General features: G+C 47.4%; 2 protein-coding genes across 3 annotated transcripts, besides 4 other annotated features; one reads left to right on the top strand and one right to left on the bottom strand.

Annotated features, from left to right (window-relative positions):
* Positions 1 to 442: 442 nt before the first annotated feature.
* Positions 443 to 7628, bottom strand: CFAP97D1 (CFAP97 domain containing 1). 2 transcript variants are annotated; one of them, NM_001136483.3, is made up of 6 exons: positions 7477 to 7628; positions 6874 to 6944; positions 6171 to 6289; positions 4760 to 4883; positions 4170 to 4226; positions 443 to 3680 (listed from the first exon to the last, which is right to left on the bottom strand). In NM_001136483.3, exons 1-5 carry the CDS (start codon positions 7598 to 7600, stop codon positions 4170 to 4172), a joined length of 495 nt encoding a protein of 164 aa, NP_001129955.1. In that variant the 5' UTR covers positions 7601 to 7628; the 3' UTR covers positions 443 to 3680. The 2 variants fall into 2 exon arrangements, with proteins under 2 accessions (NP_001129955.1, NP_001340329.1); NM_001353400.2 differs by lacking the exon at positions 4760 to 4883.
* Positions 8906 to 9595: a silencer, noted in NCBI's record as "silent region_8567". NCBI's record gives its function as "represses an Ori minimal core promoter by ATAC-STARR-seq in GM12878 lymphoblastoid cells {active_cell/tissue: GM12878}" and the evidence as "EXISTENCE:reporter gene assay evidence [ECO:0000049][PMID:35858748]".
* Positions 8906 to 9822: a biological region, named in NCBI's record as "Sharpr-MPRA regulatory region 13819".
* DUSP3 (dual specificity phosphatase 3) lies at positions 9086 to 21938 on the top strand. The gene is made up of 3 exons (NM_004090.4): positions 9086 to 9263; positions 13125 to 13351; positions 18249 to 21938. Exons 1-3 carry the CDS (start codon positions 9139 to 9141, stop codon positions 18452 to 18454), a joined length of 558 nt encoding a protein of 185 aa, NP_004081.1. The 5' UTR covers positions 9086 to 9138; the 3' UTR covers positions 18455 to 21938.
* Positions 9528 to 9822: an enhancer, noted in NCBI's record as "tiled region #13819; HepG2 Activating DNase unmatched - State 1:Tss, and K562 Activating DNase unmatched - State 1:Tss". NCBI's record gives its function as "activates a minimal TATA promoter and a strong SV40 promoter by Sharpr-MPRA in HepG2 cells, with weak activation in K562 cells {active_cell/tissue: HepG2 | K562}" and the evidence as "EXISTENCE:reporter gene assay evidence [ECO:0000049][PMID:27701403]".
* Positions 27328 to 27622: a silencer, noted in NCBI's record as "tiled region #3915; K562 Repressive DNase unmatched - State 12:CtcfO". NCBI's record gives its function as "represses a minimal TATA promoter and a strong SV40 promoter by Sharpr-MPRA in K562 cells {active_cell/tissue: K562}" and the evidence as "EXISTENCE:reporter gene assay evidence [ECO:0000049][PMID:27701403]".

The following is a 27716-nucleotide window of genomic DNA, read 5'->3' as shown; positions in this document are numbered from 1 at the left end:
AACCTGAGCAGTTCATGGGCTGGATCATGAAAAGCCTTGTATGCTCTATATAAAGCTCCAGCCCATTATGCAAGAATGGCAAATCACGGAAGCCATTAAGCTAGAAAGTGATATGGGCGTATTTTTGCATTAGTAATGCAAGTTGCAAATCACAAGTGCCTGAAATATGGCAGTAGCTCATACAGAGATTGAGACATAAGACTTGTAGCTTTAAGATCACCTCCATAGACCATAGCCTGGGCAAGAGAGTGACTCTGTCTTTAAACAAACAAACAAACAAAAAACCAAAAAAAGATATGTAGGGAGGGGGATAGGAGGAAAGAGAAGGAATGAAGTAAAAGATGACCTCAGGTTTTTAACCTGGGTGTCTAGAAGAATGGTTGTTCCTCAAACTGAGATTAACTGGAACCAGTTAATAATGAATTTGTATTTAGGCATGTTGTTTTTTTTAAGCTTTTTATTTTGAGATAATTGTATATTCACATGCATGTAGGAAATAATACAGAGAGATCCTGTAAACTCCTTACCAGATTCCCCCAGTGGTAGCATAGTGCAAAACTATATGGTACAGTATCACAACAAGGATATTGACATTGATAGAGTCAAGATATAGAACAGTTTCATCATTGATATATTGGATGTCATCCAAATAAAAATATTTTACTCTGTCAAAGACCCTGAGGATGAAAAGACAAATTATAGACTGGGAGAAAAATACATGCAAGGCGCATAGCAGGCAAAGGACTTATTCCTATAATATGTAAATAACTTTCAAAATTTGCTATTTAAAAAATCAGGCCAGGTGTGGTGGCTCATGTCTGTAATCCCAGCACTTTGGGAGGCCGAGGCAGGTGGATCACCTGAGGTCAGGAATTTGAGACCAGCCGGGTCAACATGGTGAAACCCTGTCTCTACTAAAAATATAAAAATTAGCCGGGCCTGGTGATGCATGCTTGTAATCCCAGCTACTCAGGAGGCTGAGGCAGGAGAATCGCTTGAACCCCAGAGGTGGAGGTTGCAGTGAGCCAAGATCGTGCCACTGCACTCCAGCCTGGGCAACAGAATGAGACTCCATCTCAAAATAATAATAATAATAATAATAATAATGTTTGAAAAACTAGAAACTACCCCAATGTCCTTTGATGGATGTATGGTTAAATATATTGTAGCATGTCCATACCATGGAATACTACTCAGCAATAAAAAGGCACACACAACTTGGATGAACATCAAGGAAATTATCCTGAGTGAAAAAAGCCAATCTCAAAAGGATGAACATACATTGCATGACGCCATTTACGTAATACCATGAACTAACAGAGAGGTGGAAAACAGATTGTGATTGCCAAGAGTTAGGCTTGAGGGTCTGAGGTGACTGTGGCTAAAAGGGTGGCAATAAGAGTGTCTTTTGATAATAGTGGTTTTAAGTATCTCGAATGTGGTTACACAAAGCTATACATGTGGCAAAAACCGCATAGAGCTATACATATATGTACAAAAATGAGTGCATGTATAACTGATGAAACCTGCATAGGTTCCATGCATCATGCCAATGTCAGTTTCCTGGTTTTGATATTGTACTCCAGTTACGCAAGATGCTAACATTGGTGGAGACTGGGTAAAGGGTGCAGGAGGCCTCCCTGTTCCTTTATGTGCAACTACCTGTGAATTTTCATTATTTCAAAATAGAAAGTTTAAAAAGTCAGTGCGATGGTTAATTTAAGGTGCCAACTTGACTGAATAGAAACCTGGTAAAGCATTATTTTTGGGTGTGTCTGTGAGTGTTTCCAGGGGAGATTAGCATGTAAGTCTGAGTGAACTATGTGGGAAGATCCACTCTCAATGTGGAGAGGCATCATCCAACTTGCTGTGGATTCAGAAAGAACAAAAACAGACAAGAGGCGAATATGTCAATCTATCTGCTGGAACTGGAATACACTCTTCCTCTCCTGTCCTGGGACAACAACTCTAGGCTCCTTGGCCTTTGTACTCCAAGACTCACACCAGCACCCTTGTCCCCCCTAGTGGGTTCTCAGCCTTTGGCCTCGAACTGAGAGTTACACCACCTTCTTCTTGGTTCTGAGGTTTTTGGGCTTGGACCAAGCCATGCTACCAGCATCCCAGTGAGGTGGGAGGCAGGCCTTGACTCCAGAGGCGGGGCTTGGACACAGGATCCAATTGAGGACTAGCTAAAACAGGAAAGGGGTGGAAGCAGCTTTCCATAAGACACTCCCACTAGTGTGCCATGTCAGTTTACCATTACCGTAGCAACACCTAGGAGTTACCACCCCTTTCCAGGGCAATGACCCAAGGACCCAAAAATTACTACCCTTTCCTATAGGCCGGACATGGTGGCTCACGCCTGTAATCCCAGCACTTTGAGAGGCCGAGGCGGGCGGATCACGAGGTCAGGAGTTCAAGACCAGCCTGGCCAAGATGGTGAAACCTCGTCTCTACTAAAAATACAAAAATTAGCTGGGCGTGGTGGCGAGTGCCTGTAGTCTCAGCTACTTGGGAGGCTGAGGCAGGAGAATCGCTTGAACCCAGGAGGCGGAGGTTGCAGTGAGCTGAGATCGCGCCATCTGCACTCCAGCCTGGGCGACAGAGTGAGATTTCATCTCAAAAAAAAAAAAAAAAATTACTACTCCTTCCCTAGAATTTCTGCACAAACCGCCCCTTAATCTACATGTAATTAAAAGTACGTATAACTATGACTGCAAAACTCTCTGCCTTTGGGGTAGCCCTGTACTGCAGGAGCAGTCATGGAGCTGTAACACTGCTGCTTCAATAAAACTGTCTTCTTCTACCCTACCACTGGCTCACCCTTAAATTCTTTCCTGGGTGAAGCCAAGAACACTCGCAGGCTAAGCCCCACTTTGGGGGTTGTCTGCCCTGCTCCACCAGGGTCTCCAGCTTGCAGATGGCCTGTGGTGGGACTTCTTTAGCTTCCATGATCTTGTGAGCCAATTCCCCAAATAAATCCTCTCCTCTCTCTCTCTCTTTCTCTCTCTCTCTCACTCTCTATCTATCTCTCTCACTCTCTCTCTCTCTCTCTCTCTCCTATTGAGTCTGTCTCTTTGGCAAATGCTGACTAATATAGTTGGGCTGAAAACTAGCATGACCAATCATAGCAGGCCTGCAACATTGTCTCACCGTATGTTTTGAGACATTTTCACTGCTGCTGCTCCCTATAAATGAACAGAGTCCATGGAAACTTCAATGAGGCATTCTTTTCCGATCGTGTGTATTCACAGAGGAACTAATGGCATTTGTTCCTTGTGTTTTCTGAACCTTGATGTTGTCATGTGATTTCGTTTTCCATTTTGACAGTGCTGTACTTGTGGCTGGATGATCTCACCCCAGCTTTTCTTCTTCCACGGGATGGTGATGATGGTGTATGTTTTAAAGAGTTCTCTCAGATTTCTCTCTCTCTCTCTCGTTAAAACTTCTTTTCATAGCCCCAAATAAAAATGCTCATTGCATCTTTCCTTCTGCCTGCCCCATTTTGGAATGAGAACATAAAGCCTTTGGGTCCCCTAAATGTAACTTACGCATTTTATGTTCCAAGCTTTATTGAAGCATCTGAAGATGGAGCATTCAGCCAGTCGGGAGTGTCTTGAGATCCTGAGCAGCCAAGAAATCCTAGGGCCTTCTCTTGTATCTTTTCCATGGTGAGTAACCTTGTATTCAGTGGAGAAGAGAGAAGGAGACACATCAATTATACAGAACTATTCTTTGGAACGCCTAAGTGTCCATTTATCTTTCTCCCTTGGGTGGGGGAAACCACTTAGTCATCACTAATAATGTTAAATAATACAAAATGACAACATGCTGGTACTTTTGAATACTGACAGAGACCTGGAATGTAACTTTGGCACAATTTTAAAGCCACAGGTCTTCCAGTTTATGTCTTATTGGAACAAATCACTTCCCCTCAGACTCCCACAAAGCCTCAAAGATGATGACAAAAGACAATGTCATTTCCTTCTTGTATGGAGAGAAGAAATAAAGTCAGAGAGCCCCAAGTTTCCCGAATGGAAGACTAGTCAATATTATATGAGAAGAGCAAAATCCGTCTCCTTAACTGGGCCCCTCATTCGCCATTTATGGGGTTCTCAGGGCTTTGGTATCAGCTGTGGTCACAGTGTTTGATAGTAAGAGAGACATACCTATTCATTTTGGGAGAGAAGATATCTCGTGGTATTTCTGATATAGCGCCTTGAATTCTTGAAGGAAAAAAATTGGTTTATGTCAATGCCAGGGCATTGGTGCTATTACTGAAGTTCTAAATCCCAGGGATGACTTAGAAAAGATTTAAAGACCAAAGTCGGTAAGTGGAGGTTTTTTAAAACACCACAGATGGTTTCCCCTCCCCTGGCCTTTTTAAGGGTCATTCCTAAATGAAGCAAACCAACCGCATACTGACTGAATCTTATACCCTTCATCCCTGTACATTCAGCCTTTCTTAATGAATTAAGGGGTGAGGGAAGACGCTACTAGATTATTTTTCTGAAACTGACACATAATTGTTATGTTATGAAACTGACACATAATGGCTTTGCTACCAAGCTGTTTTAGCTGTTTGTTTGATGGTTTGTGCCTGTTAGCTTTGTTTGCTTTGGATGGTTTTTCTTTTAACGATTGTTACATTTCATGTGATCTGACTCTAGCTGTTCAGGGATTTTTCTGAGACTCTCTCTAGGCTGAACACCGACAAACTCTGTGTGTGTCTGGGAGTATAACATGAGTGCCCACGTGCCTGCCAGTCTATCTCAGATGCCCTGCGGTCATAGTGGGGTTTGCGATCAACAAGCCTCTTCAGAATGCCCTGGTTTTCCATGGTGATTCTCACTAGCTCGCGGTTCCTTGTTTCTCTGTTTAAGCTGAAAAACACAAAACCCCGAAATGGGTGAAGAAGGAAATGCTCATCTTGACGAGTGGGGGAGATGAAGTCATGAGATCATAAATGCCAGACTGTCTAAGTGCAGGGAGTAAACTGTCCTGCTGAGCCCACAGGCCCCTGGGACAGCCTGTTGGTCTGCACTGCACTCCGGGAAACATGCACCGCATTCGCAGGTTTATATCAGTGGTCCTCAACCCTGTTGCCCATGAGAAGATTCTACTTCATTGATCTGAGGTGAACCGTGCACACTGGCATTTTCTTAAAATTCCCCAAGGATTATAATGTAAAACCAGGATTGAGAACTTCTGGTTGGGGGAAGGTCTCCCTGTGAATAAATCACAAACGGCTGGCGACAAGTTTTGGGTCACCTCACTCCTCTCAGCTTTCAACTTATACCAGAATATACCAGGATATAGAATGGCATCTTGACCATCTCCTCGCCCCCAGCAAATTCTTTCTCTTGCATGAGCTTCTTTTGTATCCCTAATCACACTGCATTGTCATTATTTCCATAAATATCTCCCCTACAAGACCTTGAGTTCTTTGAGGTAAGGAAATATACATCTCATTTCATCTTTATTATTCCTGGTACCTAGCACATAGTAGTTGCTCAGGAAAGATTTCTGGAACTGATTTTAAGAATGTCACATCATAGCCCCAGCCATGGTGCTATGGAACAGATGCCTGTGTCCCCCAAAATTCTTATGTTCAAATCCTAACCATGAAGGTGATGGTATTAGGGGGTGGGCCTTTGAGAGCTGATTAGGTCACCCTAATGGAATTAGTGTCCTTATGAAAGAAGCCTCTTTCTCCTTCTGCCCCGTGAGGTTACAGTGAAAAGATGGTTGTCTATGAAGCAGGCCCTCCTCAGATGCCGAATTTACTGGCACCTTGATCTTTGGACTTCCTTGCCTCTAGAACTATGAGAAATTTTTGTTGTTTATAAGCCACCAGTTTATAGCAATTTGCTATAGCGCCCTATAATGGACTAAGACACATGGCCACCATTTTATAAAAGTGCGCAGTGCATTCTTGTGACACACTGAATAGGACTCTGAAAAGTCTCTTCGATGAAATAAAAGCTCTTTAATGCTAGAGAAAGGTCCCCATTTTTAAAGTTTTCATTCTGTGTAACATGGTCTGTTTGGTTCTCCCTCAAGATAACTTCCCTTAAGTACTTCTCTGACTTGGGAAAACCTCACACTAAAACCCAAGAGGAAAGTCAATTTTGACTTTTCAAAACTGAAATGAAGACAAAGAACATTACCTCTTGGAAAAATATTCATTCCAGCAATCCACCTTGGCAGGGCCGCGATGGGCATTTGCGATTTTCTGACACAGTTGCTTGTTTTCATACTCGATTTTGTTGATTTTCTTTTGTTCACCCTGGTAAGAAACCACACCTCACCATGGTGACACCATCAGTGCACTGCCCCAACACACAATGACTTAGTGTTCCCCTCCTCTGAGATCGTGGGAAAGGGGTGCATTGAGGGCCACAGTGGAGACTGGAAGCAGAACTTAAAAGACTGGGCGGCCGGGCACGGTGGCTCACGCCTGTAATCCCAGCACTTTGGGAGGCCGAGGCAGGCGGGAGGTAATGAGACTAAGACCATCCTGGCCAACATGGTGAACCCCTGTCTCTACTAAAAATATGAAAAATTAGCTGGGCATGGTGCCACATGCCTGTAATCCCAGCTACTCTGGAGGCTGAGGCGGGAGAATTGCTTGAATCTGGGAGGCGGAGGTTGCAGTGAGCCGAGATTGTGCACTCCAGCCTAGGCAACAGAGCGAGACTCCGTATCAGGGGGGAAAAAAACGACTGGGGGTGACGCGTGGGGAGGAGGAGTATTAACAAATCTTTGAGTAGATGGGTATTTAGAAGGCTCTGGGAAATTGAACCTCTTTAGGAAACAGACTGGAAGTCAATAAAATACATCTGCACATCTGCAAGCAGCAAGAACAAATACCTGTAGTTTGCTCAATTTTAAAATGTGATTTGTGTGCGCCACTGGAGGTTTGGTATCAACAGTAGGCTTCGCTAGAGAAGGGGGATAAAAGGGAACAATGTTACATCACAGGAATTCCAGTAGCGGCCTCAGAAAACCAGCACTAGACAATGTCCTTGACTAATGAACAATTTCGAATTAGGACCTTAATGCGACTCAAGAAGTTTGGTTTGATTTATCAAATGAACATCTCTGGAGAGTTTTGAGCAGAAACAAAAGAATAGTGAAAATAAAATTTACAGAGATAAATGTCCTTCTAATCCAATGAAAGAGCTTCTCTTCCAATCTTTTTCCAATATTATTAGCCTGTCTATTGGCTTCTGAAGTCTTATCCCCTTTCTAACGTACTTCGGCTTTAAGGAGTTTAAAGGAGTATTTCCATCCAGTGAACTCCCTGGTGGAAGATACATTTTGTTATTGGTGCTAATGCCCTCTTCCCCAAACTCAGCAGATAAGGCCATATCATCCCAAAGCTGTGACCTGGTCTGGTTTCCTGTTGATCTCTTTATGGGGTACCATTCCAAAATCCCTAATAGCAGTGTCCAGCCCAAACTGCCCACATACCTATTTGTATTCTATTCTTGTGAGATACGTAGTGGCCAAAGTCCAGTTTCTTTCTGAAGGTTGTGCTTTGCCTGTGATTAGAGACGATAACAGGGTAGGCCAGATAATCCAGGGAATTGTTCATCTTCTCTTCCTAGTCTCACTTCAGAAATGAGGTACCCAGACTCCTCTGTGAGGTGCCTAGCTGTCCCCATGACAAGCTGTCATAGTTACCCAGTTATGACATCAGGGACAGGTCCCGGGAAGGGAGTAGGAGCAGCAGAGCATGGCTGGCTGCCTCTGGGCTTGTGTTTTTAATGCTAACCTCGGCTCAAGTCAAGATGAAGGTCAAGGAACTCGAAAGCTTTCCCCGCTGCTTAGAATGCAGATGCTGCCAGCCAACACCAGAAGGAAAGAAGTGGTGCACCGGGAGGGGTGGGCAGGCACGGGGTGGGGTGAGGGATACAGAAATTCCAGCCTTGGTTACACATCTTGGGCTATCAGCTAAGTAGTCTCCACTGCAATAGCTCCCCTGAAGGTGCAAGACCACAAGTTTTGGAGGAGGAGAAAGTTGACCCTAATGATAATCGGATCCAATTCCTTTTGCAAATGAGGAAACTGAAGACCACAGCAGCAGCAACGTTACTCAAGAACCAAGTTGGTGGCAGGGCTGGGCTCAGGATGTGGGGTTCCTGAATTCAAGGCCAAATTTGCCCTTTTGCAGGAAGGAAACTGCCAGTTTTTCATGGCAGTAGGGGAGGGCAGCTTTCCTCCAGTACAGAGACTATCTTTTGTACTTAGTGGGAGTTCAGGAAATGCTGAGTGGCTTATGGTGGGCTGGCATCTGCTCCAGGAAGGGCTGCAGGAGTCTGATTTATCTCCACCCCAGCACAGGGTATAGCACCCACTGGGTGCTCAACGCATTTGTTGATGAAGGACTAACACCTATTGAGTGCTCGCCATGCAGTGCTGGGTGCCTTCTTTGAATGTCACATTTAACCCTTCCAGCAACCCTAGAATTAGGTACCATTACTATCCCGCTTTTTTTTTTTTTCCCTGCAAACAGGCTCAGGTTAAGTAATTCCTCAGAATTCCAAACCTGACTGCTTTTAAGCACGACGATGACTCTCAATGAATGTTGAAAGCAGATGCGCCCCAGAGTAGGGCTTCTCAGACTTTGACCGTAGGGACCTCCTGGGGTCCGTAAAATGTCCACTCTGATCCAGCAGGGCTGGGCTGGGGCGGGGATTCTGTCAAGCGCCCGGGTGGTGCCTCCACTGCAGGGAGCCGCTCACGAGCCGAACCCGGCGGTCCCTGTAATCATGAAAGACTGAAGCGACCCCTAGGTGTACCTCCGCCACGAAATGTTTATTGGGCCCTGCATTTAATTCAGGGAAGGAAGTTACCGCGCTTGCCAGTTTACAAAGATACACAAACGGCCTGGACCGGGATGGGGCGAGGACCCCTGAGACTCCAGGGCGGTGGCGTCTTCCCCCCGGGACGCGCCCAGGAGTGGCGCGCGGGGCCCCCGCGTCACGGCGCCCGCGCTCCGCAGCTCCCGGAGCCCGGCGGGCCCGCCCCAGGGGCGGGACGGGGCGGCTCCCGGCGCGAGCCCCCGCCCAGCTGATCCGCCGCTCTCCGCCTCGCTTGCTCCTGCCGGGCGTGCAGGGCCCCGCCGCCGCCATGTCGGGCTCGTTCGAGCTCTCGGTGCAGGATCTCAACGACCTGCTCTCGGACGGCAGCGGCTGCTACAGCCTCCCGAGCCAGCCCTGCAACGAGGTCACCCCGCGGATCTACGTGGGCAACGCGTGAGTCCCTTTCGCGAGCCCGGCCCCGCCGTCCCTCTCGGGACGCCCCGCCCACCCGAGGCTGGGGTCGGGGTGTCGCGAGTCTTGGGTTGGGGGAGCCCGGGCGCGATGGCCCCTCCGGGAGCCACAGCGGGGGCTTGGGAGGGGCCTGGAGTCGACGCCTACCCCCGCGCGTGGGGCCAAGGAACTGGAACCCTGCCTGGCCGGGCGCGGCCCTTCCCCGTGGCGGGGTGCACGGAGCCCGGGTGGCGCCTGCCCGGGTCCCAGCCGCCACCCGCTTGGGGCTTGGCCTTGGGCGGGGTCGGGGCTACCATGTTCACTTAACAGGTGACCCTCGGTCGCCCGGCCGGTCTCCTGCCCGCGCGTCATGTGACAGCTGCCTGGTTCTGCAGTGAGGTCACCGCGGAATGTCTGCCTTCGCCGCCATGGCAACGGGCCGACGTCACAATTCGGGCATGGAATTTTCCCGGCCCGGCAGTCCCGGATCAGGGAACCTAAACACCCCAAATGAGCGAGTCCGGGGAGCTGGGCCGGGATTTCCAGGCCCCCACCTTCCAGATGTGATTTGATTTACAGGAGATTCTAGAACGGTCCAGTGATAACCCCCCTAAGGACCTGAGCCACCACCTAGAAAAGGCTCTTGACCTTTCACCCCCAGGCTCTGTCACCCAGGCTGGAGTGCAATGGCGAGATCTCGGCTCACTGCAACCTCTGCCTCCTGGGTTCAAGCAATTCTCCTGCCTCAGCCTCCCGAGTAGCTGGGATTACAGGCGCCCGCCACCACGCCTGGCTACTTTTTGTATTTTTAGTAGAGACGGGGTTTCACCATATTGGCCAGGCTGGTCTCTTGGCCAGGCTGGTCTCAAACTCCTGACCTCATGATCCGCCCACCTCGGCCTCCAAAAGTGCTGGGATTACAGGCGTGAGCCACCGCACCCGGACAGTAAGAGATTTTTTTTAATTTAAATTTTAAATTTTTTTTCTAGTAAGAATGTCTAATCAGCAGGAAAGAACCAGTGTTAACATTCTGAGATGTGAAATAGGAGCCTCAAGAAAGAATATATTAGCATGCCTGTACAGCCTTGGAAAGCCTCAAGTTGGATTTTCACGATACTCTGAGGACCCAGTTACCAAAATCCTAAGCTTCATGGCTCAGCCCAAGGATGGCATGTTGAAAACTCAAAACTAACCCTCCTCCCATTTTACAGAGGAGGAAATGGTGGCTCAGAGTGTGTGAGGGACTACAAGGACAGGGTCAATGTCTTGTTCATGTATGTATTTCCTGACCTCCGCTATGACCTGCTGTTTAGCCTGCCAAGGACTGCCACGGAAATGGGGGTCATCATGGAACTAGAAGGGGTCCATCAGGCCCCAGCCTCATGGGGACAGTTCTCATCCATTCCATCATTCATTCACCAGTCTGAGCACCTGCTTTATGTCAGGCACTGTACAATGTTCATTCATAGTAGAGATAGTAATAATGATAATTGTAAATTTTTTGAATGTTGAATTATTAATAGTATTAGAGGCCTGGCACGATGGCTCACGCCTGTAATCCCAGCACTTTGGGAGGCCGAGGCGGGTGGGTCACCTGAGGTCAGCAGTTCGAGACCAGCCTGACCAACATGGTGAAACCCTGTCTCTACTAAAAATACAAAAATTAGCTGGGCATGGTGCCTGGCGCCTGTGATCCCAGCTACTCCGGAGGCTGAGGCAGGAGAATCGTTTGAACACGGGAGGTGGAGGTTACAGTGAGCCAAGATCGTACCGTTGCACTCCAACTGGGCAACAAGAGCGAAACTCCATCTCAAAAAAAAAAAGTATTAGAGAAGGGAGATGAATGGGAGTGACTCTTCAAAGTGTTTTTTTCTATCAGCCACTGCTTCACAGTCTTGCGCGGTGTCCTAAGCAGGAATAAACAGAGTCCCACAGTGTCAGCCAAAGGCTTCAGGAATTGGAAAGCTCTAGAGACACCCTTCCTCTTGCACCAAGCAGCAAGCAGGCCTTGTTAGCCTCAGGAATCCCGCTTGCTTGGGCAGGTTGGCCATTCAGCTGTCATCACTTCCCAAGTGGAAACCAAGGTTGTACACGTCTGGTGTAGCCAGAGTGGCAATTGCTGATGGCCACTGTAGAAAATACATCCCTTGCCCTCTAAGCACCTCTGACCTTGACTTGGCCAGGGGTGTGGGGGTTCCTCAACAGGGAGGATCAGTGAGCACCAAGCACCAAGAGGATTTGGGCTCCATTCCCTTAACAAAATCAGGGCCGCAGCCACGTCCTCACAAGGCAGAGCCAGAGCCTGTGTGAGCCACATGTGCCAGGCCTTGGGGGTTTTGCAGCAGATGTGGGCATGAGGGGCAGAGTGAGGTGGAAGATAGAGCAGGGCTGGATGTCGGGAGAAAGGAGGTCTTCTCCCAGATCTGCCACCAGCAGCACACGGGGCCTGTGCCCATCCCTCTGCTCATCCTGTTGGGCCTGAGTTCAAGCTCTGTTAAGCAGGGATATTGCCATCCTTGTTCCTCACAGGGCTGCTCGCAGTGGGCAAGCAAGATCACACAGGAGGTGGCATTTTATAAAGTATAAACTGCTATTTGGACTGGGATGTTTTGTGAGATGAAATAAAGGGGCCTTTTCACCATTCAGACCAATTATTATTTTTATTTTATTTTATTTTATTTTTCGAGACGGAGTCTCACTCTGTCACCCAGGCTAGAGTGCAATAGCACAATCTCAGCACACTGCAACCTCCACCTCCCGGGTTCAAGTGATTCTCCTGTCTCAGCCTCTGTAATCCCAGAGTAGCTGGGATTACAGGCATGTACCACCACACCCGGCTCACTTTTGTATTTTTAGTAGAGACGGGGTTTCACCATGTTGGCCAGGCTGGTCCCGAACTCCTGACAGGTGATCCACCTGCCTCGGCTTCCCAGAGTGCTGGGATTACAGGTGTGAGCCACTGCACCCGACCTTAGATAAATTATTTTGTAACCTCCCATAGTTCTGTTGGGGCCACTTACTCCCCAAGTACTAAATCACCCAAAAGAGCTTTGGAAACGTAGCCAGTGGAATGTGGCAGGTAGGATCCCTCTGGGGGCAGGGAGGGGGCTGCCTGGTACGTGACAAATTTATTCTTTTGCACTCATTCACCGCTTATTTATTCAGCACCTACTATGTAGCAGGTACTATAGCAGATGGTGGGGAAACAGACTTAAAGCAGACATGGTTCCTCTCTCAAGGAGCTCACAGTCTGGATGTCTAAACACAGAAGCACAATCAAGCATTAGAATCATAGTGCTCACTACCGTGTCCAGCTCTGTCAATGGAATAGCCCATTTAATACTCATAACAACCTCAAGGAGAAGGCACTGTTATCCCCATTTTACAGAGAGGGAAACTGAGGCACAGAAAGGTTAAATGGCTTGCTTAAGGTTGCCTGGCTAGTACCTGGGCAGGATGCAGACCCAGTTAGTCTGGTTCCAGAGCCCATCTGTAACCAGTTGGCTATGTACACCCCCACCACAGCTTAGGGAGCATGGGGCCAAATGGAATGGAGGGGAGACAAACACTGCGGAGGGTGTGAAAGATGAGAGGGCGCATTTCTCCAGAGAAGGTGGGAAAGAGCATTCCAGACAGAGGGGACAGCATGGCTATGAAACCACCAGTCTATTTGGGGAAGCTGCTGGCAATTCGATATGGCCAGAGTGAGGGAAGAGGTCATAAGATGAGGCAGGAGAAGCTGGCAGGGGCCAGAGCATGGAGGGTTTCCTTGCTTTGCTAAGAGGCTTAAATCCTTCTCCATCTTCCTCCCCCTGGGGCTGCCATTTGGTTGGTTAATCATCCCCACCACTGTCTCCTGTCCAGGTCTGTGGCTCAGGACATCCCCAAGCTGCAGAAACTAGGCATCACCCATGTGCTGAACGCGGCTGAGGGCAGGTCCTTCATGCACGTCAACACCAATGCCAACTTCTACAAGGACTCCGGCATCACATACCTGGGCATCAAGGCCAACGACACACAGGAGTTCAACCTCAGCGCTTACTTTGAAAGGGCTGCCGACTTCATTGACCAGGCTTTGGCTCAAAAGAATGGTAAGGGACCTCCCACCAGGAAAAGATGGGAGGCAGCTCTGACTGGACTGTCCCTCTGGAAAACAGGCCCACAACAGGTCTCTTCTTAGAAACTCCCTTGTTTCCCATCTTCTGGGGTGAACGACAGAGCTGTAGGTCTCTCTCTGCTCACCTGGCTGGCTGTCAAGTGGCCCCGTGTGTCACAGGATGTGCAACTCATTCACACCATGGCAGCCCCAGGGTCCTCGCGTTTGACTGCACTTTGGCTGGAGGTTGGTTTCCAGTTGCTTACACGTCCCCCATTCAAACAGCTGTAACGATGAGGAAGATGTGTTAATGTGTTAATGTGCATGGCAAGAAGTCCTGAGGTGAAGGAGCATGGGGGCTGGTTGATTAAGGGGCTGCTTGATTCAGCAGCTCCATGGTGGCCTCTGGACCAGGCCCTTTCCCTTTCTCTCTTCTGCCACCTCAGTGTTGGGTGCTCCCGTCATGGTCCCAAGATGGGATCCAGTCACCACATCCAAGCAGGACAAAGTACAGCAGATGAGGCCCTGCAGCCATCTCTTCCCACTCTTTTTTTTCCTCTTCTCTCTCTCCTTTTTTTTTTTTTTTTTTTTTTTTAGATGGAGTTTCACTCTTGTTGCCCAGGCTGAAGAGCAATGGCGCGATCTTGGCTCACCGCAACCTCCACCTCCCAGGTTCAAGCGATTCTCCTGCCTCAGCCTCCCGCCTCAGCCTCCCAAGTAGCTGGGATTACAGGCATGCGCCCCCACGCCTGGCTAATTTTGTATTTTTAGTAGAGATGGGGTTTCACCATGTTGGTCAGGCTGGTCTCCAACTCCTGACCTCAGGTGATCCGCCTCCCTCTGCCTCCCAAAGTGCTGGGATTACAGGCATGAGCCACCGCGCCTGGCCACTCTCTCTCTCTTTTTTAAAGAGACAGGGTCTTGCTATGTTGTCTAGACTGGTCTCCAACTCCTGGGCTCAAGCAGTCCTCTCACCTCAGCCTCCTGAGTAGCTGGGACTACAAGCACGTGCCACCATGCCCAGTCTCTCTCTTTAAGAACAAGTAAAACATTTCCCAGAAATACCCCTCACATCTCATTGGCTAGAGATTCACGTGATTGCCTGGCAAGGAGAAAAGGGGTAGCTGCGGTCAGCTTAGGTTGGCAGTCAGCAAACCACAGCCCCCCTGGCCAAATCTTCCAGCCACTTACGAAACACTTCCTGCAGCCCCCAAATATAAGATAAGACTGAAGGAGAACTACCAAGGCGCTGGCAGTCACCAAGGCATTCCAGCAAGAAACCCTAGAAGGCCACAAAGCAGACATCAGCTGAGCAGGCTGGGCCACTTGCCCTTTCTCCCTTTCTGCTTTTAGCTGTTTCTCTCAGCTCCTCCCTTTACCTCTTCGTCTCTCCCCACCCCAAACCCTCCCAGCGGAGGGGACCCCCATGAGGTGTGAACAGCCTTGGCTGTACTACACTGATGACTCTTGGGCCCAGCAGGCTCACTGTCTGAATGATTTCCAGTAAACAGAATTTTCTAGACCACTGGACAGTGAACGCTCAGGGCTCAGAGAGAAGCTTTACTGTGGAGTATCTGCAGACTTTGCTGACAGGCCCCTCATGGTCCTTCCTGGTCACTGTCACCCCCCAACCCTGCTCACCTCCTCCACTCCAGCTGTACTGAGTTCCTCACCCTGTGTAAACATAGGCTGGGCGAAGGGGAAGGATTTTGTTGTTCTCGTATAATAGCAATTGGTTATTCATTCAGGGAATTTCAAGCTCTCTGACTTTGTTTCCTCTTTCCAAACAACTAGGAACACGCCCTTTTTTTGACCTGTCTCAGTCCAGGTGTGCTGGGTCTTTAGTCTGAAAAGTTCTCTCTGCCTCTCCCTACCCCTTCCTCTGGCAAACTCCACCTTGTCCTTGGCATGGTGTCCTCTCTTCCATGAAGCCTGCCCTCAGGCTGGGTCTACTTTGTTCCTTGTCTGTCTCCTTAGCACCTGATGTAGCATCAGGCACATAGTAGGTACACTGCAAATGATGAATGAGCAAGTGATGAAGAATTCCATGGGCTCTAATGCCAAGTATAAATGCTTCTAAGAATGAGTGGCGAAGTGAGTCAACAGAAACATGCTGGCCTCCAACAGTGTGTGGGGCCCAGGGACCCATCACTGAGAGCTGGGTGGGATGGCTGAGGGTACTCAAGAGGGAGCAGTCACTTCTAGCTGGGAAAACAGCTTCATGGAGGAGGTGGCATCTGGGCTGAGCCTAGAGGAATGGGAGGTTGAACTGGCCCCTTTCCCAGTAGGCTCTGTGTGCACTGGGCATGCAGAGTATGTTCTAGATGGTAAGGTGGCTGCTCTGCAGAGGGTCTCATTCCTAGGGTGGGGCAGGGGAAGCCCCACTCTGAATATTTCGGGCATACAGGCCGGAGGGTGAATGGGCAAGAAAGTGGAGGACTCCTGCTTCCTGATTTGGAAGGCATTGGGAAAATAGAGTGGTGTTTTGGGGGTAGGGTGATAGGAGCAGAAGAGACTCTGTTGGACTCTGGGCTAGCAGATTCCTTGCCAAACAATGGCCTTATAGAGGTGTTAGTAGGTAATAATTCACTCAGCTAGTCAGCAAATATTTATTGAGCACATAGTGTATGCTAGAGATTGTAACGCATCCAAAAATCAATGCCCCACATTTCTTGCCTTTTTTTTTTTTTTTTTTTGAGACGGAGTCTCGCTCTTGTCACCCAGGCTGGAGTACAGTGGCTCAATCTCAGCTCACTGCACCCTCCACCTCCCAGGTTCAAGTGATTCTCCTGCCTCAGCTTTCTGAGTAGCTGGGATTACAGGCATGTGCCACCATGCCCAGCTAATTTTTTGTATTTTTAGTAGAAACGGGGTTTCGCCATGTTGGCCAGGATGGTCTCGAACTCCTGACTTCAGGGGATCCGCCCACCTCGACCTCCCAAAGTGTTGGGATTATAGGTGTGAGCCACCGTGTCCGGCCATTTCTTGCTCTTAAAGAATTCGTCCTCTGGGAGAGAAAAGTCAATCTGCGCATGTCTGGCAATGACACAGGACCAGGGCTGCTGTAGTTGAGGGTGTACTAGGTGCTACCAGAGGATGCCCAGTATTGGGTAACATTTATTGAGTGCACATGGATGCCAGGTGCTAACCTAGAGGATTCATGTGTCCTCTCCTTTAATCTAACCACCTTGTGCAATGGGTACTATTGGCCAGATAAGAAAACTGAGGCACCTTGAGGTTAGGTGGATCATGAGTTAATAACCAGTGTATTGGTCAGGATTCTCTAGAAAAAACAGAACCAATAGAATATACAGTCGGTCCTCCATATCCGTGGGTTCCACATCTGTGGATTCAACTAACCTCAGTCTGAAAAATATTAAAAACAACATAAAAAGATGTTATGTCTGTACTGAACATGTACAGATTTTTTTTCTTGTCATTATTCTCTAGATGATATAATCTAATAAATGTTTACATTGTCTTGGGTATCATAAGTCATCTGGAGATGATTTAAAGTATAGGGGAGGATGTGCTGTGCAGAGGTTATTTGCATATATGATGTCATTTTATAATCAGGGACTTGAGCATCTGTGGATTTGGGTATCGGCAGGAGGTCCTGGAGCCAATCTGCCCTGTGGATATTGAGAGATGGTGTCTATTTATATATATATATATACACACACATACACACACACACACACACACACACACACACATATATATACACGCACACACACACTATATTAAAATAACCCCACCTCTACTAAAAGATACAAAAAAATTAGCTGGGCATGGTGGCATGCGCCTGTAGTCCCAGCTACTCAGGAGGCTGAGGCAGGAGAATTGCTTGAACCCGGGAGGCGGAGGCTGAAGTGAGCCGAGATCGCGCCACTGCACTCCAGCCTGGGCAACAAGAAGGAAACTCCATCTCAAAAAAAAAGAAACAAAACACTACCAGCACCCTGGAAAGCACCCCCAGTCTCTATGCTCCACCACCCCCATCCCCAGCTCCCAGGGCCTCTGCCACGCGGGCTTCTTTTTTTTTTTGAGACAGAGTCTCGCTCTGTCACCCAGGCTGGAGCACAATCTCAGCACAATCTCACCTCACCGCAACCTCTGCCTCCTGGGTTCAAGCAATTCTCTGGCCTCAGCCTCCTGAGTAGCTGGGATTATAGGCTCGCGCCACCACACCCAGCTATTTTTTTGTATCTTTAGTAAAGACGGGATTTCACTATGTTGGCCAGTCTGGTCTCGAACTCCTGACCTTGTGATCCAGTTGCCTTGGCCTCCCAAAGTGCTGGGATTACAGGCGTGAGCCACTGTGCCCAGCCCCTTGCAGGCTTCTGACAGCACAGATGGTTTTGCCCGCTTTCCTACTCTGTGGGCTCATCCACCTCATATGTGTGTGCTGCCTCCGTGTTGCTTCTGCTAAGTGGCAGTCTGGTCATTCTTTGTATTTGTCCTTTCTACTGTGGATGGGCCTTTGGGGGTTTCTAACTGTGGGCCATGATGTGCAGTGTTGCCTGTGAACATTCTGGCCCATGTTCGTGAATGTGAATGCGTATCTCTATTGGACCTGGGCCTGGGAGTGGGATTGCTGGGCCAGAGGGGATGCACGTGTTCAGCTTGAGGAGATACCGCCGTGCCGCACAGCTTTCCAAAGTGGTTGTGCCAATTCACGCCTCACCTCCCCCAGCCACGCAGAAGAGTTCCAGTTGCCCCATATCTTCACCAGCACTTTGGGTTTTCCATCCTTTTCATTTTAGCCATTCTGACAGGCACACAGTGGCGTGACATTGTGCTTTTAAGTGGCACTTCACGGAAGAGTCTTGACCAACGCCATGGTGTGATGGGACGCCCCCAGCTCACCACGTCTCCCCTGTTTCTTACAGGCCGGGTGCTCGTCCACTGCCGGGAAGGTTATAGCCGCTCCCCAACGCTAGTTATCGCCTACCTCATGATGCGGCAGAAGATGGACGTCAAGTCTGCCCTGAGCATCGTGAGGCAGAACCGTGAGATCGGCCCCAACGATGGCTTCCTGGCCCAGCTCTGCCAGCTCAATGACAGACTAGCCAAGGAGGGGAAGTTGAAACCCTAGGGCACCCCCACCACCTCTGCTCGAGAGGTCCGTGGGGGAGGCCGTGGGCAAAGGTGTCCCGAGCTGCCATGTTTAGGAAACACACTGTACCCTGCTCCCAGCATCACAAGGCACTTGTCTACAAGTGTGTCCCAACACAGTCCTGGGCCACTTTCCCCACCCTGGGGAGCACATAAAGAAGCTTGCCAAGGGGGGCGTCCTTGCTCCCCAGTTGTCCTGTTTCTGTAACTTATGATGTCTTTTCCCTGAGATGGGGGCTCAGAGGGGGAAGGCCTGTGGCCTGCATGCTTCCCGATGGCCCACGGCAGGAGGTGTGTGGAAGTGTAAGGCCTAAGATGCTCACAGAGGTCCCTCATGACCTCCCTTCCCCAACTCCCGAATCCTCTCTTGAGTGTGGACCTCAACACCTTGAGCCCTAGTAAAGGAACTATGCAAATGCAGGCCACTCTCCCCACCACGTCTGTGCCCTGCACTGTCCCCACAGCCTTCCACACCCTGTGCATAGGCAGCCCTCTCACGTCTTGAGGTCCGAAGCTGGGGTGGGGGTGTCCGTCAGTTATTAGTGGATGGAGATTCCCACAGCAAGGCTGCATTTGAATGATTTCCTTAGGATGAATGGTCCCTACACAAAGAGGCCTTGTGGGCAAACCTGGAGAACCCTCCTAAATCCATAGAGTTTTCAAAATGTGAATCTTTGGAAGCCTTGAGTTCAGAATCTGCTGCTCTGGAATATTTCCCTTCGATCTTATCTCAGTCACTTCGTTTTTGAGAAGAGTGATGCCTTGGGCATGCTTTTTTTTTTTTCTTTTTTAGAAAACAGGGAGTTGAAGTCCAACCTATTTAAAAACCCCACCATTTGGAGAATTACAAGGGTTTTGTCCTGAATTGTAGTGTTGGCAAGCCCAAGCCACTCGTGCTAACTGCTTTTTGTCTCGGTTGCTATTCCAAGAACAGAAGGAGGAAGTTGGCCAATTACAGCGTGTGTGCATGGATGTGTGTGGGGGGCGTGCCTCTCAGAAACGCGGCCAGAAGACAAGCAGGGAAGTGAAAGGTCCCAGGCACACACCCTGCCCATTGCAGGTGGCTCTTACAGCTCTCTGGTGCCAGCACGGGATCCCTGAAGTGACTCAGCCAGGCAGACATGAGACATGGCGGAGTGTCCAAATGGATCCTTTATTGGTGGTAGAGCAAAAAAACCCAAACACGATAAACCTTTCAAAAGACTTTCTAAGGATGATATTGGAATGCACCAGCCCTCACATGTGTATGCACATTTGCCAGAATATAAGAGTTTTGTTTTAAATACAGTCTTGTTAGGATTTTACGTTATTGTTATTATGGAAAGTGATTGTGATGCTATTTATCTTCAGGGTCACTCTGGGCAAAGAGAAGGTCCTCAGCCATGCCCCCAGCACCTTGCACATAGGTGTCTGATAAAAGTTTAAGAAAGTAAACACTTTTTGAGCACCAAATATATATAGGGCATTGTTCTGGTGGGTGTGTCACGCTCCCAGAAGACTGAATTCATGGTAGGATCACTCGCAAGGCCTTGTGAAGGAGTCTTACCTAAAACGAAAGAAATATCAGGGACTTTTGTTGACTATTTACAACTCAGTTTTACATTTAAATTCAGGCAGTGTTAATATGCCAAGGTAGGGAATGTGCCTTTTTCAGAGTTGGCCAGGAGCTCCTGGCTGGGACACGGAGAGGCAGGTGTGGCGTAAGGCCTCACTCCCGGCTGGGAAGGTCTCTGATCACACAGAAGCAGCCCTGCCCAGCCTGGTCATTTGCTGTCCGCTTTTCTCTGTGACCACAGCAGCCCTGAACAACCAGTATGTGTCTTCTTCTCCAGATAGTGAAAAAGGTGTCCAGATAAACCCACCTAAGTGAAATGGCCATCCTCTAAACTGGGTACCTCACTGCACAGCTTCTAGGTAGCCTTCCAACTTAATCTAACTTGAGCCTCACAGTAACCCTGTAAAGTTAGTAGAGCTTGTTCTTGTATTGTGACCTTTTTTAAAAAAAAGGAACTGAGGTTCAGAATGATTAAGGGCCTGGCCCCCAGGGTTGTCCAGCTCCATAAGGTGGAGCTGGGCAAGATTTTGGGTTTGCTGCTCCCTGAAGCTGGATTCTTTCATACGATACTCTTTCTCAAGAAGGGGGCTCCCTGGGATCTCCAGGTGTACTGCACTTACCCTCAATCCAGCCCCGGAGAAGCAAGTGAAAAGGGTGGGTCCCTCATAGGCTAGAATGTGCAGCTCTTTCTCCAGGTGGGATGTAGCACCCCGAAGTAGAGCTTTCTGCTCTGCTCCTGGAAAAGGCTAGGGAGCTGGGGCTGGGGCTCCCCTCCCATGACCAGGCAGTGGTCACCCCATGGGACAGGCACAGCTACTTACGCGAACACAGCAGGTTGGTGTGGCTGGCTAACTAGGACCTCTCGAAAGTCTCTGTGGGGGCATGAGGGAGAAAAGGCCATTGGGAGAATTACTGCCTTTACTTTGGGACTACTTTTATGCTGATAACTTGGGATTTCTTGATAGTCCTTCACCCCTGAAACCCCGTATTTACTTAACAAGATTTAGCTCTTAGTTCTTCAAGTAAAATTAAAGTCTCTTGTGTAAGAGCCAACACATGCCCAGCTGCGGATGGGAGCTGTTCCTGGACAGCCTTCTACTGCCTGGGAAGTGATGGAACAGGAACTCAGGGTGCCCTTACCCCCTCCCCAGACCTGTTCCCTTTCTTTGACTGACAGAGCACCATCCAGGCAAAATTAGAGCGCCAAATGGTTTTCTTCTCAATCTTAAAGCAGTATACCTTTCCACAGGCTCGTCTGTGTCCCTGCCACTCTGAGTTATCCAGAAACCACCACCTACAAATGAGGGGACTCATCTAGAAGACCTCTAAGGTCCCCTTTTGGCTCTGAGGGGTCTCTAATAATCCCCACTTGGAATTCAGCACCGCAAGGAAATTATGGGTATGTGAGCCATAATATGATGGGCAGCAGGTGGCGCTGCCTTCCACCCATGGTGATGGATGGTTTGGAAAGGGAATGTTGGTGCCTTTTGTGCCACAAGTTAAGATGCTACTGTTTTAAAGGAAAAAAAAAAAAAAAAGTACTGATCTTCAATATGAAGACATGAGCTTTTCTCGCAGGAAATTTTCTTTTTCACAGAACTGGTGTCAGGAATCACTGAAGGGCTAACCGTGATAGTCCTTGCAAGTAAGTCAAGGTTTTATCCTGATTGGAAATAGAAGACATTTCCGGTTGAGAGAACAGATTCGTTGGAAGCTTAACTTTTGTTGCCTCTTAACGCCACCAAATTTTAGGGTAATTTGATTATGAAAGAGTGAATTTTTCTGGACAGAAAAGGGAGAGCTACCAAATTGTTTTTTTCTTTTTAAAAGGAAGTTTAATGTCCGTTGTATCACAAATCAGTGTTAAAACACCAGAACTTTAGCCAAAATAAATGTCTTACATTACAAAGGTATTGTTTTTTTGTCCTTCTTATCACAGTTGGTATTCTTTTACGTTTTTATGCTTAGCTTTTTTTGTTTGGGCTTAGCTTTTATATTTGCGATTTCTAACTTTTTAAAAATAATCATCTAAAACATAGCCGTTCTGAGCTAGTTATAGGTTCCATGATGGCACTGTTTATGCAGTAGATATTGATGAACACCTTTCCAGTACCAGAAATGTTCTGGTAGGAATATTCTTAGGTAGAATGGCCATAATGGTCCTGAATGAAGGAGGTAAGGTTTGTGCTTCTAAGAAAGCAGGGGACTAGGGTGTTCATCTCAAGGTAGCCTCACGTGATGACTGGGTGACATTTTGAGATTTGAGTGATCCTGCAAATGAACAGTCCCTAAACATATCCCCTTCCCCCAGATGCCTTAAATTCCACTATTGGTGCTATGTTCCTTTGAATAAAAAACCTTAGAGAAAGTAGTTGCCTTTTCCTCCCAGACAGAAGTCTGGGCAGAGAAAGCCTCTCGAGGTTCCCATTCCCTCTATCACATGAAGCAATTGGACTCGCTTCCTGTTTGTCAAGACTCTGACAATGTAATCTTTATGGTTCTACACAAAATCTTAAGGCAGAGCACTAAAATATAAAACAGGTAAAAGTTTTTAAGTATAATTTTTAAAAAATTTTTCATTAAAAATAATACTATATGTACATAGTAATACACTTAAACAATGCAAAAGGCTTATACGGAAAAGTGAGTCACTTGCTCCTTCAATCTGTCTCCCCATAAGCATCATATCCTTAAAGGAAAATGTCAAGCATATATAAGCACACATATGTGCATACGTGTGTATATACAGAGATATCTCTGCTTTGTTGTTTGTTTTGCTTAGCTTATATTATGGTTATTGTTTTTATTGTTCTACCCCCTTCATCTTAACAGCTACATAGCATTCCATTGTGTATGGATGTGTAAATAAAGACAAGGTGATTTGGACATCCCTCAATGCAGGGTACTGCCTAAAAGCAGAAGTTTGCCCTCCTAATCCAGATATTTCCTTTTTACCACCTACAAGTGGGAGCAAAATCTGTTTTAAAATGCAGCCAATAAGGAGAATCCTCAGTTTCCATTAATTAGAGATAGGGGCCTCCTCCAGAACCAAGTAGAGAATGAAACCGGATGACCTTTGAGAGTCCTTCCAGATCAAAGATTCTATGATCCCAAGGAGTCAAAGGAGCATAATATACTTTCCAAATTTGGCCTGTCATTCAAAGTCTGGTCCAAATGCCACATCTTACCATAAGGATCCCAGATCCTCCCCAGGGGAAAGAGATTGTTCTCTCCTTTGAAGGCCCATAAGAAAATTGTCCTTTTGAAAAAATGCATCTGGTGAGGATGTGGAACAACAGGAACTCTTTGTTTCAGTGGGGAATGCAAAATGGTACAGCCACTTTGGAGGACAGTTTGCAGTTTAGTTTCTTGCAAAACTACACATACTTTTATTGCACAATCCAGCAGTCATGCTCCTTGGTATTTATTCAAATGATTTGAAAACTTAACGTTCGTATAAAAACCTGCACACAGCTGGGCATGGTGGCTCATGCCTGTAATCCCAGCACTTTGGGAGGCTGAGGTGGGCAGATCACTTGAGGTTAGGAGTTTGAGACCATACTGGCCAACATGGGGAAACCCCTTCTCTACTAAAAATACAAAAATTAGCCAGGTGTGGTGGTGCTCACCTGTAATCCCACCTACTCGGGAGGCTGAGCCAGGAGAATCACTTGAACCCAGGAGGCGGAGGTTGCAGTGAGCTGAGATCACGGCACTGCACCCCAGCCTGGGAGACAGAGTAAGACTCCGTCTTAAGACAAAACAAAACAAAAAACCTGTACAAAATGTTTATACCACCTCTATTAATAATTGCCAGAGCTTGAAAGCAACCAAGATGTCCTTCAGTAGATGACAGTAGGTGACTAGATAAACCGTGATACATCAAGACGATGGAGTATTACTCAGTGCTAAAAAAAAAAAATAAGCTGTTCATGCCATGAAAAGACATGGAGGAACCCCAAATGAATATTACTAACTGAAAGAAGCCAATCTGAAAAGACTATGTATGGGTATATTCCAACTCTATATGACATCCTGGAAAAGGCAAAAATAAAGGTACAGTAAAAAGATCAGTGGTTGCCAGGGGTTGGGGAAAGTCGGGGAGGGATGAATAGGCAGAGCAGATAGTTTTTTTGGACAATGAAAATACTGCCCATCTGTATGATACTATAATGGTAGATGTATGTCATTATACATTTGTCCAAAGCCATAGGATGTACAACACTAGTGCTGTGATGTAAACCATGGACTTCAGGTGATAATGATGTGTCATGTAGGCTCATCAATCATAGCAAATGCACCACTCTGGTGGCGGGATGTTGATAACGGGGGCAGCTGTACATGTGTGGGCACAGGACATAAATGAGAAATCTCTGTACCATCCACTCAGTTTTGCTGTGAACCTAAAAGTGCTCCAGAAAAAAAATAAAGTTTTTTTTAGAAAAAAGCATCTGAACCTTTTTTTCAGTGGCATTGATCACCTTCCATCTGGTAGTGGAGTTGTTTGGATGCGGAAATTATTTCTTCCATGGTATGCGAGCTCCTGGAGAGGGAGTGCGTGTCCCCCTTGCTTTATTAAACGTTTGGCGAGTGAACATCGGAAGAAGCAACTCGACAGAAACAAAAGCTGGTAAATAATCACATGGAAAAGCAGCTTTTCTGGAAATTAAGTTTCAACTGTTAAATTCAATGTTTAAAAAAATCGGCTGGGTGCGGTGGCTCCCGCCTGCAATCCCAGCACTTTATGGGATTGTGGGAACACCTGATGTCAGGAGTTCAAGACCAGCCTGGCCGACATGGCGAAACCCCATCTCTACAAAACAAATAAAAAAAATGCAAAAATTAGCTGGGTGTGGTGGCGGGAGTCTGTAGTCCTAGCTACTCGGGAGGCTGAGGCAGGAGAACTGCTTGAACCCAGGAGGTGGAGGTTATATGAGCCAAGATCACACCACTGCACTCCCGCCTGGGTGACAGAGCGAGACTCTGTCTCAAAAAAAAAAAAAAAAAAAAAAAAAAAAATCAACATCCCAAACCCAGTGTTGACAGTCTTATTTATGGGTTGAACTGCATTCCTCCCAAATGCATATATTGAAGTCCTAAGTCACAGTACCTGAGAATGTGACCTTATTTGGAAATAGGGCTATTACAGATGTAACTCGTTAAGATGAGGTCATTAGGCTGGGCCTAATCTAATATGCCTGACCTCCTTAGAAAAAAGGGAAAATTCGAACACAGAGAGAACACCATGTGAAGATGAAGGCAGGGATTGGGGGTGACACTTCTGCAAGCCAGTGAATGCCACAGCTTGTCAGCAGCCAGCAGAAGGCAGGTAAAAGGCCTTCCTCGCTGTCCTCGAAGGAACCAACTCTGCCAATGTCTTGAACTTGCACTCCTAACCTCCAGCTCTGTGAGACGACTTCTGTTGTTTATGCCACCCAATTTGTGGTACTTAGTTACGGCAGCCTCATCAAAGTACCACCTATGGGAGCCTCTATTTTGCAGGTGAGGGCGGGGACTGGGCTTTTTCTGGAAAACAGCCCTGCAATACCCTCATCAGACCACCAAACTCTTCACACTCCCTCAGACACAGCATTCACTTCCAGAAATAACTCTAAAGTTTTGTTTTGTTTTTTTAAACTTTGTGGAATACTACTCAGCCAAAAAAAAAAAAAAGAAAAGAAAAAGGAACATGTTACTGATATGTACAACTTGGATAATGGAAATAATGCTGAGTGAAAAAAAAATCCCCAAAGGCTACATACTAATTGATTCCATTTATATAACCTTTTTTTTTTTTTTTGAGACAGTCTCACTCTGTCACCCAGGCTGGAGCACAGTGGCGCGATCTCAGCTCACTGCAACTTCCGCCTCCTGAGTTCAAGCGATTCTCTTGCCTTAGCTTCCCAAGTAGCTGGGATTACAGGTGCGTGCCACCATGCCCAGCTAATTTTTGTATTTTTAGTAGAGACAGGGTTTCGCCATGTTGGCCAGGCTGGTCTCGAACTCCTGACCTCAAGTGATCTGCCTGCCTTGGCTTCCCAAAGTGCTGGGATTACATGAGTGAGCCACCGCACCTGGCCGCATTTATGTAACAATTTTGAAGTGAAAAAAAAAAATGACAGAAATGGAGATTAGATGAGTAGTTGCCAGGGGTTAGTTGTGGGAGGGAGGGAAAAGGAGGGAAGGAGGTGGGCAACAGGAGAAAGACTTGTGGTCACAGAGCTGTGCTTTATCTTGACTGTGGTGGATCCCCAAATTTACCCGTGACAAGATTGCATAGAACTAAGTATACACACACGTGAATGCGTGTGCACGCACACAGTAGAGGTTAAACCACGGGAGATGTGGGTAAGATTGGTAAATTGTGTCAATATCAATATCCTAGTTGTGATATTGTCCTATAGTTTCGCAAGGTGTTATTGTTGTGGGAAACTGGATAAAGGATACACGGAGTCTGCATTTTCTTTTTTTTATTTTTATTTTTTGAGACGGGGTCTCACTCTGTCATCCAGGCTGGAGTGCAGTGGCCCAAGTATGGCTCACTGCAGCCTCGACCTCAACCTCAAGTGAACCTCCCACCTCAGCCTCCCAAGTAGCTAAGACCACAGGCGTGCGACCCCATGCCCAGCTAATTTTTAAATTTTTTGTAGAGACTAGGCCTCACCATGTTGCCCAGGCTTTTATTTCTTATAAGTATATTTAAATTTATAATTATATCCACATTTTAAAATTTTAATTTAAAAAATTACTCTGAGGCCGGGCATTGTGGCTCATGCCTCTAATCCCCAGCACCTTGGGAGGCCGAGTTGGGCAGATCACCCGAGGTCAGAAGTTCGAGACCAGCCTGAGTAACATGGAGAAACCCCCGTCTCTACTAAAAATACAAAATTGGCCGGGCGTGGTGGTGCATTCCTGTAATCCCAGCTACTCGGGAGGCTGAGGCAGGAGAATTGCTTGAACCCAGGAGGTGGAGGTTGCAGTGAGCCAAGATTGTGCCACTGCACTGCAGCCTGGGCCACAGAGAGAATCTGCCAAAAAAAGAAAAAAAAAAAAATTTCAGCCGTACAAGGATGTTCATAGCAACCCTGCTGGAAATAGGAAAAAAAATTGGAAATAACCTAAACTACTCACAATAGGAATCAGCTAAAACCCTGGGGGTTTAATTCCAGGGAGTACTGTGAACAATGACAAGTTTGTGGACTGAGTAAAAATAAACAGCTGTCAATGACTTAACATTAAATGAAACAGCAGAAGATGTCACAGCAGGTTCTCGCTGAGCCATTCAGAGGGGTGTGGATCATTTAGAGGTTCAAGTCCACTGGATTCTTCTTTTTCCTTTTAATATTACTTCACTTCCAAATAAGGAAAGGAAAGGAAAGGAAATCACGTCCAGTCCTGAGACTTGCCATCCTGCAGTCACCCCTCCTTTTGTCTCCAGCAGGTGGCAGACGCGTTCCAGGGATGAATCCCACTGCCTCTGTTTAATGCAGACGGTCCAGCCGCTCCCAACAGCAGGTGGGGCTATAAGCATCCATCCTACCTGCTCAAGGAACCCAGGCATCAGAACTGCTCTCTCCCAAGTCCATTGCAAGAAGGCAGTCGTCTGGTCATGAGAGGGTTAACAGTCCACATTCCAGAGCAAGGGAAAAGGAGGCTGGAGGGTCATAGACAAGGGGAGGTGGCGCGG

This window comes from Homo sapiens, chromosome 17 (assembly GCF_000001405.40).
Source record: "Homo sapiens chromosome 17, GRCh38.p14 Primary Assembly".
NCBI lineage: Eukaryota > Metazoa > Chordata > Mammalia > Primates > Hominidae > Homo > Homo sapiens.
This window is presented reverse-complemented; position numbering and strand designations above follow the sequence as displayed.

What these genes read in the sequence shown, in the direction of transcription:
- CFAP97D1 (NM_001136483.3), bottom strand. Translation starts at nt 7,600, where the DNA reads ATGAACAATTCCCTGGATTATCTGGCCTACCCTGTTATCGTCTCTAAT. An exon ending in TAAAATTGAGCAAACTACAG is followed by an intron (nt 6,290 to 6,873) that starts GTATTTGTTCTT and finishes GTTTCTTACCAG; the next exon opens with GGTGAACAAAAGAAAATCAA. An exon ending in AATGAATATTTTTCCAAGAG is followed by an intron (nt 4,884 to 6,170) that starts GTAATGTTCTTT and finishes TGTGTTTTTCAG; the next exon opens with CTTAAACAGAGAAACAAGGA.
- DUSP3 (NM_004090.4), top strand. Translation starts at nt 9,139, where the DNA reads ATGTCGGGCTCGTTCGAGCTCTCGGTGCAGGATCTCAACGACCTGCTC. An exon ending in CGGATCTACGTGGGCAACGC is followed by an intron (nt 9,264 to 13,124) that starts GTGAGTCCCTTT and finishes TCTCCTGTCCAG; the next exon opens with GTCTGTGGCTCAGGACATCC. An exon ending in GGCTTTGGCTCAAAAGAATG is followed by an intron (nt 13,352 to 18,248) that starts GTAAGGGACCTC and finishes TGTTTCTTACAG; the next exon opens with GCCGGGTGCTCGTCCACTGC.